Source organism: Homo sapiens, chromosome 13 (genome assembly GCF_000001405.40).
Source record: "Homo sapiens chromosome 13, GRCh38.p14 Primary Assembly".
NCBI classification, from domain to species: domain Eukaryota; kingdom Metazoa; phylum Chordata; class Mammalia; order Primates; family Hominidae; genus Homo; species Homo sapiens.
Window position 1 is genome coordinate 69,473,059 of NC_000013.11, and position 14,755 is coordinate 69,487,813.

The 14,755-nt window shown below is 36.7% G+C and overlaps 1 annotated feature.

Moving 5' to 3' along the window:
- Positions 10,577–11,076: an enhancer, noted in NCBI's record as "H3K4me1 hESC enhancer chr13:70057767-70058266 (GRCh37/hg19 assembly coordinates)". NCBI's record gives its function as "activates a minimal SCP1, AML or CMV promoter by ChIP-STARR-seq in primed H9 embryonic stem cells {active_cell/tissue: H9 hESC(primed)}" and the evidence as "EXISTENCE:reporter gene assay evidence [ECO:0000049][PMID:30033119]".

A 14,755-nucleotide genomic window follows, 5' to 3' on the forward strand; every position in this document is an offset into this window, starting at 1 on the left:
CTTCTGTAGCTTTTCTCCTGCCATCCTCAAAGTGACTGATAGTGCTATCAGAGGAGGAAAGCCCCAGTTGGCAGGAGGTTACTCTACCACATTTCCGGAAGATGGGAACTCCATACCTGTTGCCATTACTCTTGCCCTCTCAGTTGTCTGTAATAGTGTCACTGGCCTGTGTGAATATGCCAAGAAGAGAGCAAAGGGAGTATTGGAGTTCTCAACTTACTCCAAGATACCCGCACATCTCTAGGATATAGGCAGTCCTGTGAGGAGTGTGTCCCCCAAACAGCTGTGAGCTATCATGTTTTTACCAATTTGGAGAAACTGACTTGTAATTTTGTTGAGGCAGACTCACATATCCATGGTCACAATGTTGAAAGATGGAACTGAGTTACTTTGCTAGTGAGTGTCTTACAGTCCCTTTACATGCATTTTTCTCCATCACTTTATCCTTCTTAATGATGTAAATACTTTTAATTTTCACAAAACCCTATGAGCTGGGAAAATGATTATATTCTTGTTTTGGCATATGCAAAATCTCAGGTTCTGTCACTTAACATGAATAAGAACTGGGCTGCTATTCTGCGACATGTAATTATGCCCCTGTGAAGATGTTGCCCAAATTGTTCTATGCCCCAGTTATACTGATAGATCATATTAATCTAAGAACTGTTGATATGCCTTTTAGGACTTGATTTTAGAGAATTTTCACCCTGCCTAAGTGTAGGATTTACATACTAACATCCAACAACATACTTAAAGTTTTTTTTTTTCCAAATTTCTTATTTGGGAGATATCCCAAATTCAAGATTATCTTGAATTATGGTCAGTTTTCTTCATAAATGCTGTATTATTCTACTTATTCTTTAGTCTTTGTCACAATATTAAATATTTAATATGATCCTTCTGTGCACTGGACAAATGCCACAACATTAACACAATTTTACAGAGAACACAGTGTTCTAATTTTTATGATAAAAGACACCTTTCTTATCAAGAAAAGAATAATCAAATATAAAAGAGATGAATTTTGTTTAAAAATAATTAAATATTAAAAATTAAATTAAAAGATGAGATAGAAAATACATTTTTGGATGTCATTTCAGGGTTACAACAGAAATACTAAAAGTAGAAGACTATTGACAGAATTCCAGCAAGAATTGGAATGGTTTAATTCCAAGTCCGTCACAGTTATGACTCAGGCAGAAAAATTTTTATTTTTTAAATTCTACTTTGTGCAAATTGTTAGTGAATGTATTAGTTAATGACCTGAAGGCAAATCCCTAACAATGTGATTTTGTGCTAATTGTGTAGAAAAATATTTCTAGCTTTTAAAAATGCTACAGTCTGGGATGCTGTAGGGAATTCTTCTTCCCTGTTTGAGCTATTCAATTCAACCTTCCTCAAGGGCACTGAATCATATTGAATGAGTCATCCCGAATTCACATCATATCTGAAATCAAGGAAAACTCTCAAGAGGCAATGCTAGGGATTAAACACTCTCATTCTATTTATATTCAGTTGGCATTAAAATGAAAAATGAGTTATAAAATGAATTGGATTAATACTATGGATATCTTAATATCTCATTTTCATAATGCCTTATATTAGAATGCTGAAGTTTTAGATATAACAATCATGTTTTTGGCTTTATTTTCAGAAAAGCTCCTCATTTTAAATGTATCTTCTTTAAAATATTTCTTGACTATTAATTAAATGAAAAAATACTAGACATATTATTAAAATAAATGTATGTTTCATCAGTATGCTTATTAAAGGGAAACCAGTGTCTTAACAGCCTTAGGCTAAAAATTATTAAATTAAGGACTGTTAAAGCATGAAGCTGTAAAATGTATATATGTACATTTCAAATGGTTGCAGGCACATCTGCTATTGACTTTAGTATTATAGGAGCTTATTTTGAAAATACTGAATCTTTCAATTTTTAGCAGAAAATAGATGAAAGAAATTGATATATTAAATGTATGCAAAATTTTATTTTTGATTAACAAAATATTAATGTTCCAAACAATAAAGATACATGTTTGTAAGTTAATATTTCTTGCATTTTCAACTTCTCTGTTATTTTTGTTGCATTTTTTTCACATGAGGCGAATTTCTACTTTCCCCCCACCCACAAAACCCATGGCAGTTTCTCTAGTGTACCTAATGCATACCTTCAGTGCATCTAAATTAGGCTGACTTAGGTATAACTGTATCTTAAAAATTATATATATTTGATTTAAGTATGAGTTTTCATTTTCATAAGCAGAATTGTCCTATAAATTGTATTGTTTAAAATTTAACATTGGAGGGCTGGGCGCAGTGGCTCACGTCTGTAATCCCAGCACTTTGGGAGGCCGAGGCGGGCAGATCACGAGGTCGGGAGATCGAGACCATCCTGGCTAACATGGTGAAACCCGGTCTCTACTAAAAAATACAAAAAAAAAAAAGTTAGCCGGGCGTGGTGGCGGGCGCCTGTGGTCCCAGCTACTTGGAGGCTGAGGCAGGAGAATGGCGTGAACCCGGGAGGCGGAGCTTACAGTAAGCAGAAATCGCGCCTGGGTGACTGAGCTAGACTCCGTCTCAAAAAAAAAAAAAAAAAAAAATTTAACACTGGAGTTCTTAGATATACCCATGTTCCTATAGTAAATATAACTCATTATATTAGAGGCATGCCATTTATCACATGTTATCATACGTGTGTGTGCATGTGTACTTATGTTAACTTATGTGTGTGTGTGTGTATATACATATATATATACATACATATATATATATATATATACACACACCACAGTTATAAATCTATTCCTCCAGTGGCTGACTTGTAGATTGCCTATACTTCTTGGCTACCAAGGATTACAACCCGTGATGAATGCCTTTATCAGTATCTCCTTGCAGACTTGTGGGAAAGGTTTGGCGAGGATCTATATTTTGCTGTGCGAATGACTACTGGACATGGGAGATTTGCATATATGTTTTTACCAGATATTAACAAATAACCTAATGTCTGCACATTTACATTCCCACTAGCAAAATTGAAGTTTTCAATTTCTCTATATTCTTATATTTCATAGCGTTCTGACTTTAAATTTTCATCAATCTGCTACTTGCAAAAGGGTATGCTTTTTTGTATTAATATGCATTTTCATTTTTATCATTGAGGCTGTTCTTGCAAACATTAGCTATATATGTATATACTTCCTCAAAGACAGTATAGCAAAGGAGTAAAAAGCACTGATTATGGACAGAAACAGTTTAGGGGAAAATCTTGCCTCCTAACTACTTAAAGAAAAATAAACAAATTTGGGTACCTTATTTAACTCTCTGTGCCTCCGTCTATACATCTATAAAATAAACATAATAATGTCTACTTCATAAACTCTATTAGTGTTAACCCATACATGGGTTAATATGTATATAATGTTCAACAGTGTTCAGTACACAGTATATGTACATATACATGTACACATATGTGTATATATGTGTATACATACATATGTGTATATATGTGTATAAATATATATGTATACACATATATATTTGCTCTTCATTTTTAGAATTATAATAGATTTACTTACTTAACTTTATGCTATTATAAAAATTATAGAGTAGGCTTAATTTGTCAAAAGTTTCTCTTAGATCTCTGTTGGAATTTTATTGAGTGTATATACATTTTAGTAGAGTTGACATATTAAAAATTAAGTTTCTTGGCCAAGCACAGTGGCTCATGCCTGTAATCACAGCACTTTGGGAACCCGAGGTGGGCAGATCACAAGGTCAAGAGATCGAGACCATCCTGGCCAATATGGTGAAACCCTGTCTCTACTGAAAATACGCAAATTACCTCGGCGTGGTGGCGTGTGCTTGTAGTCCCAGCTACTCCGAAGGCTGAGGTAGGAAAATCCCTTGAACCCGGGAGGTGGAGGTTGCTGTGAGCTGAGATCACGCCACTGCACTCCAGTCTGGTGATAGAGCGAGACTCCTTTAAAAAAAAAAAGAAAAGAAAAAAGAAAAAGTTAAGTTTCCCATCCATGACTCTATTAACTTTTGCCATTTATTTAAGTTTCTAAGTTTTGATATAAAATAAAGAGTCAACCTTTCAAGTCAGATTCATAATAGAGATTTTCTTAGCAGCAAATTTTCTAATAATTTAAAGAATCTAGCCAATTTCAAAGCACAGATAAAACATGGATATGCCTGAGAATTTTTCAGCATCCCAGTTTCTTTCTTCATGTGCCAGAATAAACTATGTTTTCCATTATGCATGTGAGATTTCAAATGATTCATGCAGAACAAATTTGCAAAAAGGCAGTTATTTCTATTATAAAATATCTTCCTTTTTAATCCCCCAGAATTTTTTATATTCTAGGAAGCCAAGTCCTGTAATTCATAGAGTACAGGTTTATTTACAATAAACAAACTAAAATACAAGATAAATACTGCTATCTATCACATACTTTAGTACTCTCCATTATTTTTTCACCAGTAACAACAGGAAGTGTGGTTAAGATGTTTAACAAGAAAGAGTAGTAAAATTTTCTCCCAGTTGCTAACCCTATCCTTTACAGCTATGGATAAATTAACAGTTTGAACAATAAGGACAATGCATTCTTTGTTAGGGTAATTCCTGGACAATATTTTTGTCCTTTATAGCATGATACTTTTAAATACACTACTGCTTTGTTATTGCCAGTATAAATAAATACTGCTATTTTCATAAGTTCATTCATTTCATATATGACAACTTTGCTGAACTTTTGTATTAGTTATGATTACTGTATATTTCTTCTGTGTTAATTATCATACTATTTCTTTTTTTTTATACTTTAAGTTCTAGGGTACTGTACACAACGTGCAGTTTTGTTACATACGTATACATGTGCCATGGTGGTGTGCTGCACCCAGTAACTCGTCATTTACATTAGGTATATCTCCTAATGCTATCCCTCCCCCAACCCCACCCCATGACAGGCCCTGGTGTGTGATGTTTCCTATCCTGTGTCCAAGTGTTCTCATTGTTCAATTTCCACCTGTGAGTGAGAACACACGATGTTTGGTTTTTCTGTCCTTGCGATAGTTTGCTCAGAATGATGGTTTCCAGCTTCATCCATGTCCCTACAAAGGACATGAACTCATCCTTTTTTATGGCTGCATAGTATTCCATCGTGTATATGTGCCACATTGTCTTAATCCAGTCTATCATTGATGGATATTTGGGTTGATTCCAAGTCTTTGCTATTGTGAATAGTGCCACAATAAACATACCAATGTATGTGTCTTTATAGCAGCATGATTTATATCCTTTGGGTATATACCCAGTAATGGGATTGCTGGTTCAAATGGTATTTCTAGTTCTAGATCCTTGAGGAATCACCACACCGTCTTCCACGATGGTTGAACTAGTTTACAGTCCCACCAAGAGTGTAAAATTGTTCCTATTTCTCCACTTCCTCTCCAGCACCTGTTGTTTCCTGACTTTTTAATGATCACCATTCTAACTGGTGTGAGATGGTATCTCATTGTGGTTTTGATTTGCATGTCTCTGTTGGCCAGTGATGATGAGCATTTTTTCATGTGTCTGTTGGCTGCATAAATGTCTTCTTTGGAGAAGTGTCTGTTCATATCCTCTACCCACTTTCTGATGGTGTTGTTTGATTTTTTTCTTGTAAATTTGTTTGAGTTCTTTGTAGATTCTGGATATTAGCCATTTGTCAGATGGGTAGATAGCAAAAATTTTCTCCCATTCTGTAAGTTGCCTGGTCACCCTGATGGTAGTTTCTTTTGCTGTACAGAAGCTCTTTAGTTTAATAAGATCCCATTTGTCAATTTTGGCTTTTGTTGCCATTGCTTTTGGTGTTTTAGACATGAAGTCTTTGCCCATGCCTATGTCCTGAATGGTATTGCCTAGGTTTTCTTCTAGAGTTTTTAAGGTTTTAGGTCTGAAATTTAAGTCTTTAATCCATCTTGAATTAATTTTTGCATAAGGTGTAAGGAAGGGATCCAGTTTCAGCTTTCTACACATGGCTAGCCAGTTTTCCCAGCACCATTTATTAAATAGGGAATTCTTTCCCCATTGCTCGTTTTTCTCAGGTTTGTCAAAGATCAGATAGTTGTAGATATGCGGCATTATTTCTGAGGGCTCTGTTCTGTTCCATTGGTCTGTATCTCTGTTTTGGTACCAGTACCATGCTGTTTTGTAGCCTTATACTATAGTTTGAAGTCAGGTGGTGTGATGCCTCCAGCTTTGTTCTTTTGGCTTAGGATTGTCTTTGCAATGCGGTCTCTTTTTTGGTTCCATATGAACTTTAAAGTAGTTTTTTCCAATTCTGTGAAGAAAGTCATTGGTAGCTTGATGGGGATGGCATTGAATCTATAAATTACCTTGGGCAGTATGGCCATTTTCACGATATTGATTCTTCCTATCCATGAACATGGAATGTTCTTCCATTTGTTTGTGTCCTCTTTTATTTCATTGAGCAGTGGTTTGTAATTCTCCTTGAAGAGGTCCTTCAAATCCCTTGTAAGTTGGATTCCTAGGTATATTATTCTCTTTGAAGCAATTGTGAATGGGAGTTCACTCATGATTTGGTTCTCTGTCTGTTATTGGTGTATAGGAATGCTTATGAGTTTTGCACATTGATTTTGTATCCTGAGACTTTGCTGAAGTTGCTTATCAGATTAAGGAGATTTTTGGGCTGAGACACTGGGGTTTTCTAAACATACAATCATGTCATCTGCAAACAAGGACAATTTGACTTCCTTTTTTCCTAATTGAATACACTTTATTCCTTTCTCCTGCCTGATTGCCCTGGCCAGAACTTCCAACACTATATTGAATAGGAGTGGTGAGAGAGGGCATCCCTGTCTTCTGCCAGTTTTCAAAGGGAATGCTTCCAGTTTTTGCCCATTCAGTATGCTATTGGCTGTGGGTTTGTCATAAATAGCTCTTATTATTTTGAGATATGTCCCATCAATACCTAATTTATTGAGAGTTTTTAGCATGAAGCCCTGTTGTATTTTGTCAAAGGCCTTTTCTGCATCTATTGAGATAATCATGTGGGTTTTGTCTTTGGTTCTGTTTATGTGATGGATTACGTTTATTGATTTGCATATGTTGAACCAGCCTTGCATCCCAGGGATGAAGCCCACTTGATTCTGGTGGATAAGCTTTTTGATGTGCTGCTGGATTCAGTTTGCCAGTATTTTATTGAGGATTTTTGCATCAATGTCCATCAGGGATATTGGTCTAAAATTCTCTTTTTTTGTTGTGTCTCTCCCAGGCTTTGGTATCAGGATGATGCTGGCCTCATAAAATGAGTTAGGGAGGATTCCCTCTTTTTCTATTAATTGGAATAGTTTCAGAAGAAATGGTACCAGCTCCTCTTTGTACCTCTGGAAGAATTCAGCGGCGAATCCTTCTGGTCCTGGACTTTTTTTGGTTGGTAGGCTCTTAATTATTGCCTCAATTTTAGAGCCTGTTATTGGTCTATTCAGGGATTCAACTTCTTCCTGGTTTAGTCTTGGGAGGGTGTATGTGTCCATAAATTTATCAATTTCTTCTAAATTTTCTAGTTTATTTGCAAAGAGATGTCTATAGTATTCTCTGATGGTAGTTTGTGTCTCTATGGGATTGGTGGTGATATCCCCTTTATCATTTTTTATTGAGTCTATTTGATTCTTCTCTCTTTTCTTCTTTATTAGTCTTGGTAGCAGTCTATCAATTTTGTTGATCTTTTCAAAAAACCAGCTCCTGGATTTACTGATTTTTTGAAGGGTTTTTTTGTGTCTCTATTTCCTTCAGTTCTGCTCTGATCTTAGTTATTTCTTGCCTTCTGCTAGCTTTTGAATGTGTTTGCTCTTGCTTCTCTAGTTCTTTTAATTGTGATGTTAGGGTGTCAATTTTAGATATTTCCTGCTTTCTCTTGTGGGCATTTAGTGCTATAAATTTCCCTCTGCACACTGCTTTAAATGTGTCCCAGAGATTCTGGTATGTTGTGTCTTTGTTCTCATTGGTTTCAAAGAACATCTTTATTTCTGCCTTCATTTCATTATGTACCCAGTAGTCATTCAGGAGCAGGTTTATCAGTTTCCATGTAGTTGAGTGGTTTTGAGTGAGTTGCTTAATCCTGACTTCTAGTTTGATTGCACTGTAGTCTGAGAGACAGTTTGTTATAATTTCTGTTCTTTTACATTTGCTGAGGAGTGCTTTACTTCCAACTATGTGGTCCATTTTGAGTAAGTGCAATGTGGTGCTGAGAAGAATGTATATTCTGTTGATTTGGGGTGGAGAGTTCTGTAGATGTCTATTAGGTCCGCTTGGTGCAGAGCTGAGTTCAATTCCTGGATATCCTTGTTAACTTTCTGTCTCATGGATCTGTCTAATGTTGACAGTGGGGTATTGAAGTCTCCCATTATTATTGCATGGGAGTCTAAGTCTCTTTGTAGGTCTCTAAGGACTTACTTTATGAATCTGGGTGCTCCTGTATTGGGTGCATGTATATTTAGGATAGTTAGCTCTTTTTGTTGAATTGATCCCTTTACTATTATGTAATGGCCTTCTTTGTCTCTTCTGATCTTTGTTGGTTTAAACTCTGTTCTATCAGAGACTAGGATTGCAACCCCTGCTTTTTTCTGTTTTCCATTTGCTTGGTAGATCTTCCTCCATCCCTTTATTTTGAGTCTATGTGTGTCTCTGCACTTGAGATGGGTCTCCTGAATACAGCACACTGATGGGTCTTGACTCTTCATCCAATTTGCCAGTCTGTGTCTTTTAATTGGAGCATTTAACCCATTTACATTTAAGGTTAACATTGTTGTATGTGAATTTGATCCTGTCACTATGACGTTAGCTGGTTATTTTGCTCATTAGTTGAGCAGTTTCTTCCTAGCCTTGACGGTCTTTACAATTTGGCATGTTTTTGCAGTGGCTGGTACTGATTGTTCCTTTCCATGTTTAGTGCTTCCTTCAGAAGCTCTTGTGAGGCAGGCCTGGTGGTGACAAAATCTCTCAGCATTTGCTTGTCTGTAAAGGATTTTATTTCTCCTTCATTTATGAAGCTTAGTTTGGCTGGATATGAAATTCTGGGTTGAAAATTCTTTTATTTAAAAATGTTGAATATTGGTCCCCATTCTCTTCTGGCTTTTAGAGTTTCTGCCGAGAGATCAGCTGTTAGTCTGATGGGCTTCCCTTTGTGGGTAACCCGACCTTTCTCTCTGGCTGCCCTTAATATTTTTTCCTTCATTTCAACTTTGGTGAATCTGACAATTATATGTCTTGGAGTTGCTCTTCTCGAGGAGTATCTTTGTGGCGTTCTCTGTATTTCCTGAATTTGAATGTTGGCCTGCCTTGCTAGGTTGGGGAAGTTCTCCTGGTTAATATACTGAAGAATGTTTTCCAAATTGGTTCCATTCTCCCTGTCACTCTCAGGTACATCAATCAGATGTAGATTTGGTCTTTTCACATAGTCCCATATTTCTTGGAGGCTTTGTTCATTTCCTTTTACTCTTTTTTCTCTAAACTTCTCTTCTGGCTTCATTTCATTCATTTGATCTTCAATCACTGATACCCTTTCTTCCAGTTGATCGAATCAGCTACTGAAGCTTGTTCATGCATCACGTAGTTCTCGTGCCATGGTTTTCAGCTCCATCAAGTCATTTGAGGTCTTCTCTACACTGTTTATTCTAGTTAGCCATTCATCTCATCTTTTTTCAAGGTTTTTAGCTTCTTTGTGATGGGTTCAAACATCCTCCTTTAGCTTGGAGAAGTTTATTATTACCGATCGTCTGAAGCCTTCTCTCTCAACTCTTCAAAGTCATTCTCTGACAAGCTTTGTTCTGTTGCTGGTGAGGAGCTGCATTCCTTTGGAGGAGAAGAGGTGCTCTGATTTTTAGAATTTTCAGCTTTTCTGCTCTGGTTTCTCCCCATCTTTGTGGTTTTATCTACCTTTGGTCTTTGATGATGGTGACGTACAGATGGAGTTTTGGTGTGGATGTCCTTTCTGTTTGTTAGTTTTCCTTCTAACAGTCAGGACCCTCAGCTGCAGGTCTGTTGGAGCTTGCTGGAGGTCCACTCCAGACCCTGTTTGCCTGGGTATCACCAGTGGAGGCTGCAGAACCACAAATATTGCAGAACGGCAAATGTTGCTGCCTGATCGTTCCTCTGGAAGCTTCGTCTCAGACGGGCACCCGGCCTTATGAGGTGTCAATCGGCCCCTACTGGGAGGTGCCTCCCAGTTAGGCTACTCAGGGGTCAGGGACCCACTTGAGGAGGCAGTCTGTCCGTTCTCAGATCTCAAACTCCGTGTTGGGAGAAGCGCTACTCTCTTCAAAGCTGTCAGACAGGGACGTTGAAGTCTGCAGAAGTTTCTACTGCCTTTTGTTCAGCTATGCCCTGCCCCCAGAGGTGGAGTCTACAGAGGCAGGCAGCCTTCCTTGAGCTGCGGTGGGCTCCACCCAGTTTGAGCTTCCAGGACACTTTGTTTACCTACTCAAGCCTCAGCAATGGCAGGCGTCCTTCCCCCAGCCTCGCTGCCACCTTGCGGTTCGATCTCAGGCTGCTGTGCTAGCCATGAGTGAGGCTCAGTGGGCGTAGGACCCTCTGAGCCAGGCGCAGGATATAATCTCCTAGTGTGCCATTTGCTAAGGCCGTTGGAAAAGCACAGTATTAGGGTGGGAGTGACCTGATTTTCCAGGTGCCGTCTGTCACGGCTTCCCTTGGCTAGGAAAGACAATTCCCCGACCCCTTGCACTTCCCAGGTAAGGCGATGCCTCGCCCTGCTTTGGCTCATGGTCCGTGGGCTGCACCCACTGTCCGACAAGCCCCAGTGAGATGAACCCGGTACCTCAGTTGGAAATGCAGAAATCACCCGTCTTCTGCACTGCTCACGCTGGGAGCTGTAGACTGGAGTTGTTCCTATTCAGCCATCTTGGAACCTCCCCCAATTATCATACTGTTTCTACATTAGGCCAATTTTGCCTCCTCTTCCTTCCAATTTTTATACCTCTTATTTAATTTTCATGTCACATGTTTTTGGCCTGGATTTCAGGAAAATAGAAACAGTACTTATGATAGAGAATATTTTTATCTTCTCCCTGACAGGTGAGTGTCTTTTTGAGTATCAGACAGTGAGATAAGCTCCTCTCAATTTGGGAATTTCCTAAAGAATTTTTATTTGCAGGTTGATCAAACTGAACCAATGGAGAGAAAAAGCACCTGACTGTTGACTGTTTCAGTCTGGACACTCTTGAGGCTTGTTGGTTGCTTCGGCAGTTGGATTTCAATTTTGGAAACTGTGTGTGTATCATGGGAAATTCAAATTCCATAAAGTGATATTCTTTTGTAATACAACTTGGCCCCAACATTGTTTGGAATCTGGAGTTTGCTGTCGAATGGGAAAGTGGGATGGAGTTCCATGAACCGAGGCTATTGTGATGTTCTTCTAAGCAGGGTCAGGCCTGGTTAGTATGTGATATTGTTTGGTGGTGTTTGGCCCCAGTATTCTTTGGAGTCTGGGGAGGTTTGGCCTTTAAAAATCAAACTGACATGAAAACTAATTTACCCAAAATTTCAGTTCACAGAATTCATTGGATTACCTATTGGGACAAATCAATTCTAGCCATGTAAACCAGTGAGTCTGTGTTGCTATCTCATGGCTAGAGTTCTGAGTTAAAGCTATTGGATCTTTGTTTATATGTGTGTGTGCATGTCTAGATGTGTTCATGTCTATGTACATTTATTATGTTTTATTTTATGTCTACCAAATTGTCTTATGAATAAAAGAGCACTCATAAGTGAGGTAAATGAGTCCAAAGTATTTTTCAAGTTCATGTGACTTAAGTAAATATTTAATAAGCTGGCTTTAGAATTATTGGTAAAATAGAAATAGAAATGTCTTCAGCATTGTCAGCACACATTTTTGTCTGGGTTTTATATTTGCCTGTGCTAGATATTTTGAGATGTGAGGGATTGGGACAGGTTATAAAACTATAAACCCAGTTGAACAAAAAGATTTCTCTTTGTGTGATTTTTTTGATAAGACTAATATTACTGGTTTAATTAAAATACCTAAATCTTTTGAGTTATTGGTGAAAATGCACATGTAGCTAACTTTAAGGTTCTTATTTAGGTGAACACCTGATATCCACAGATTACAAAGTTGTTAACAAGAAAGTAAGTAATGCATTAACAATCTAGATAAACTGCCAAAAATAAAAAAGAGACGTAAATGGGTAAGCATCATAGGTGAATTTTTTGTGTAATTTAAATCTTAAAAAAATTTTTTGATGCTCATTGGCTGTCTGAATCATTTCCAATTAAGGAAGGATTATGATATGGAAAAATATGTTTCTATAAATTGTGCAATTGTTCTCATCTATAAAATGCTAATGTCTGATACTTCAGAATTTCTTGCTTTCTAAGGTTTCACTAAAATTGAAGATTAGTAAAGATAAGAATTATAGTTAATATATAATAGTGCATATAATATGTGCTAAAAAAGATATGTTTCTAGTTAGAAGAATAATTTTGTCACTGGGCACAGTGGCTCACACCTGTAATCCCAGAACTTTGGGAGGCCGAGGCAGGCAGATCATGAGATCAGGAGTTCGCTACCAGCCTGACCAACTGAAAATACAAAAATTAGCCTGGTGTGGTGGCACATGGATGTAATCCCAGCTACTCAGGAGGTTGAGGCAGGAGAATCACTTGAATCAGGGACACGGAGGTTGCAGTGAGCTGAGATCATGCCACTGCACTGCAGCCTGGATGACAGAACAAGACACTGTCTCAAAAAAAAAAAATAATAATAATAATTTTTTTCTAATTCGGAAGTTATTTAACAGTTTAAAAATATAGACTTGAAAAGGTTATTTATGAAACAATATAGAAAGGAACCAGTAATTGGAGAGAGAGAAAACAGTTATGAATATGAAGATATACTTTTGGTAAGGAAGGCTATAGAGAAAAGAGAATAATTTTATATGAGAAAGGATCTTGTATGGTGAATTTTTGTCCTAAAATAAAACGACTGGTTATTAAAAAAGAAAAGAAAATTTAGGACAAATCAGAAAGCCCAAGCATATCATAGATGGTCTGTGAAAGTCATATGAGTTTTTTTGCTGGTTTCTCTATGTCTCTCTTTATGCACATACAAAGAAAATAGAAAGCTGAAAAAATGTAGATAGTAAAATATTCTTTAAAATCTGATAGAAACTTGGAGAAATTTGGCTAATTCACATTCATCATAGTTAAAGCTCTTAGTCTCAATGAAGGTAAATTAAGAAATGTTATAATGAAATACAATGGGTAATTGGCAATTCATTTTTTAACACAGTTAAGCAGAAAGCCAGATTTAACATGGAGCCAAATTTCACATAAATGCTCTCATTGCTTTGTTTCACAACGTGTTTGCTCTTCTGCGTAGATAATACTAGCACTGAAGTACTTACTGGTCATGTACCTAACGTGAGTTTCTTAATTGCATAAAATGTATGGTGGTATTGGTAGACTTAAAGACATTAATTAGTGTGGAGGAATGAAATATCCATCATCTTTTTTAAGGCTCTGGGTAACATGTTAGCCTCCAAGGTTAACTGAGTAGGGTAAAAATTTGGAGTTGGTTTCCTGTTTATTGGCTTTTGTCTTTAATTTTTATTTATTTGCTGTTTGTTCTCCTTTAGGTTCTACGTACATATACATATATATATATATAACCATTGATATTTTCTGTTTTCTAGTAGAAGTCTTTTATTTGGTTCTATAAATAGTCATGTTGTTTCCTATGCATTTCTAACAAGCCATCATTTGTTCTCTTTTTCTAGAATTCTTAAACTACCTTTGTCAAGCCTGCAAAAAAATGGTAGTGCACATCAGCCATTTAAAATTTGGTTGGTTTTGCTTACCTTTGGTTATCTAGAGAGATACAAGAGCTTTAAGGATCCTGGCAAAAATAAATAGATAAATAAATAAAAGACTTATTTATACAAGTTTTGAGCAGAAATAGCGCACTATTTATTTTGTTACTTGAAAAATGAGGTGAGAATAAAAATGTTTAAAATGCATTTATTTCCAAGGTAATTAGATAATTCATTTCAATCAATAATTTGAGTTTGCTTTAGATTTTTTCTTTAGGTAATGAAAAATTGCAATGTGGGTGCAAAATTTTAATGTTCAGGAAAGATTAGCCTTGTCCTTAAGTGATTGGTATTTCTCTTGAACTAATTCAGTTGTGTTTACCTTTATTAAAATTAACTGATATTCACTTGGATTAAGTAGTAATAAAAAATTGTGAGACTTTCTAGTGATCTTTGATCCAAGCCGTTAATCAGTAATGGGCCTTCATGTATGTACTTGAAAACAAAATATGTACAACTTTTGTACTGGTAAGAAGATTTTAGTGGTGGAAGTTACATAATCAGTTGTCAGTACTGTATCTAGGAACTAATCTTGGAAATATGTGATAATGCTCCTTTAAAATAGCTGAAAAGAAATAACTGTGTGCTTGTTCTTACTTTTTCCCTGTTTTGTTGTATAAAATTTACTGGTATTTACATTTACTTTGAAAAATTGATGGACAGAAAAGTTAGTTGTTTTACTTTGATAAATTTTCCATGGGACCCAAATCATCACACTTTTGATATCTTTGGACACAGTTCTGTCACTAGAATGCTAGCAACTAGAAATATGCAGTGAGTAACCTAACCACTGAAATGCAGTGATTTGAAGTGCTGCAGGCAGGCAATAACTCTTAGAAACCAA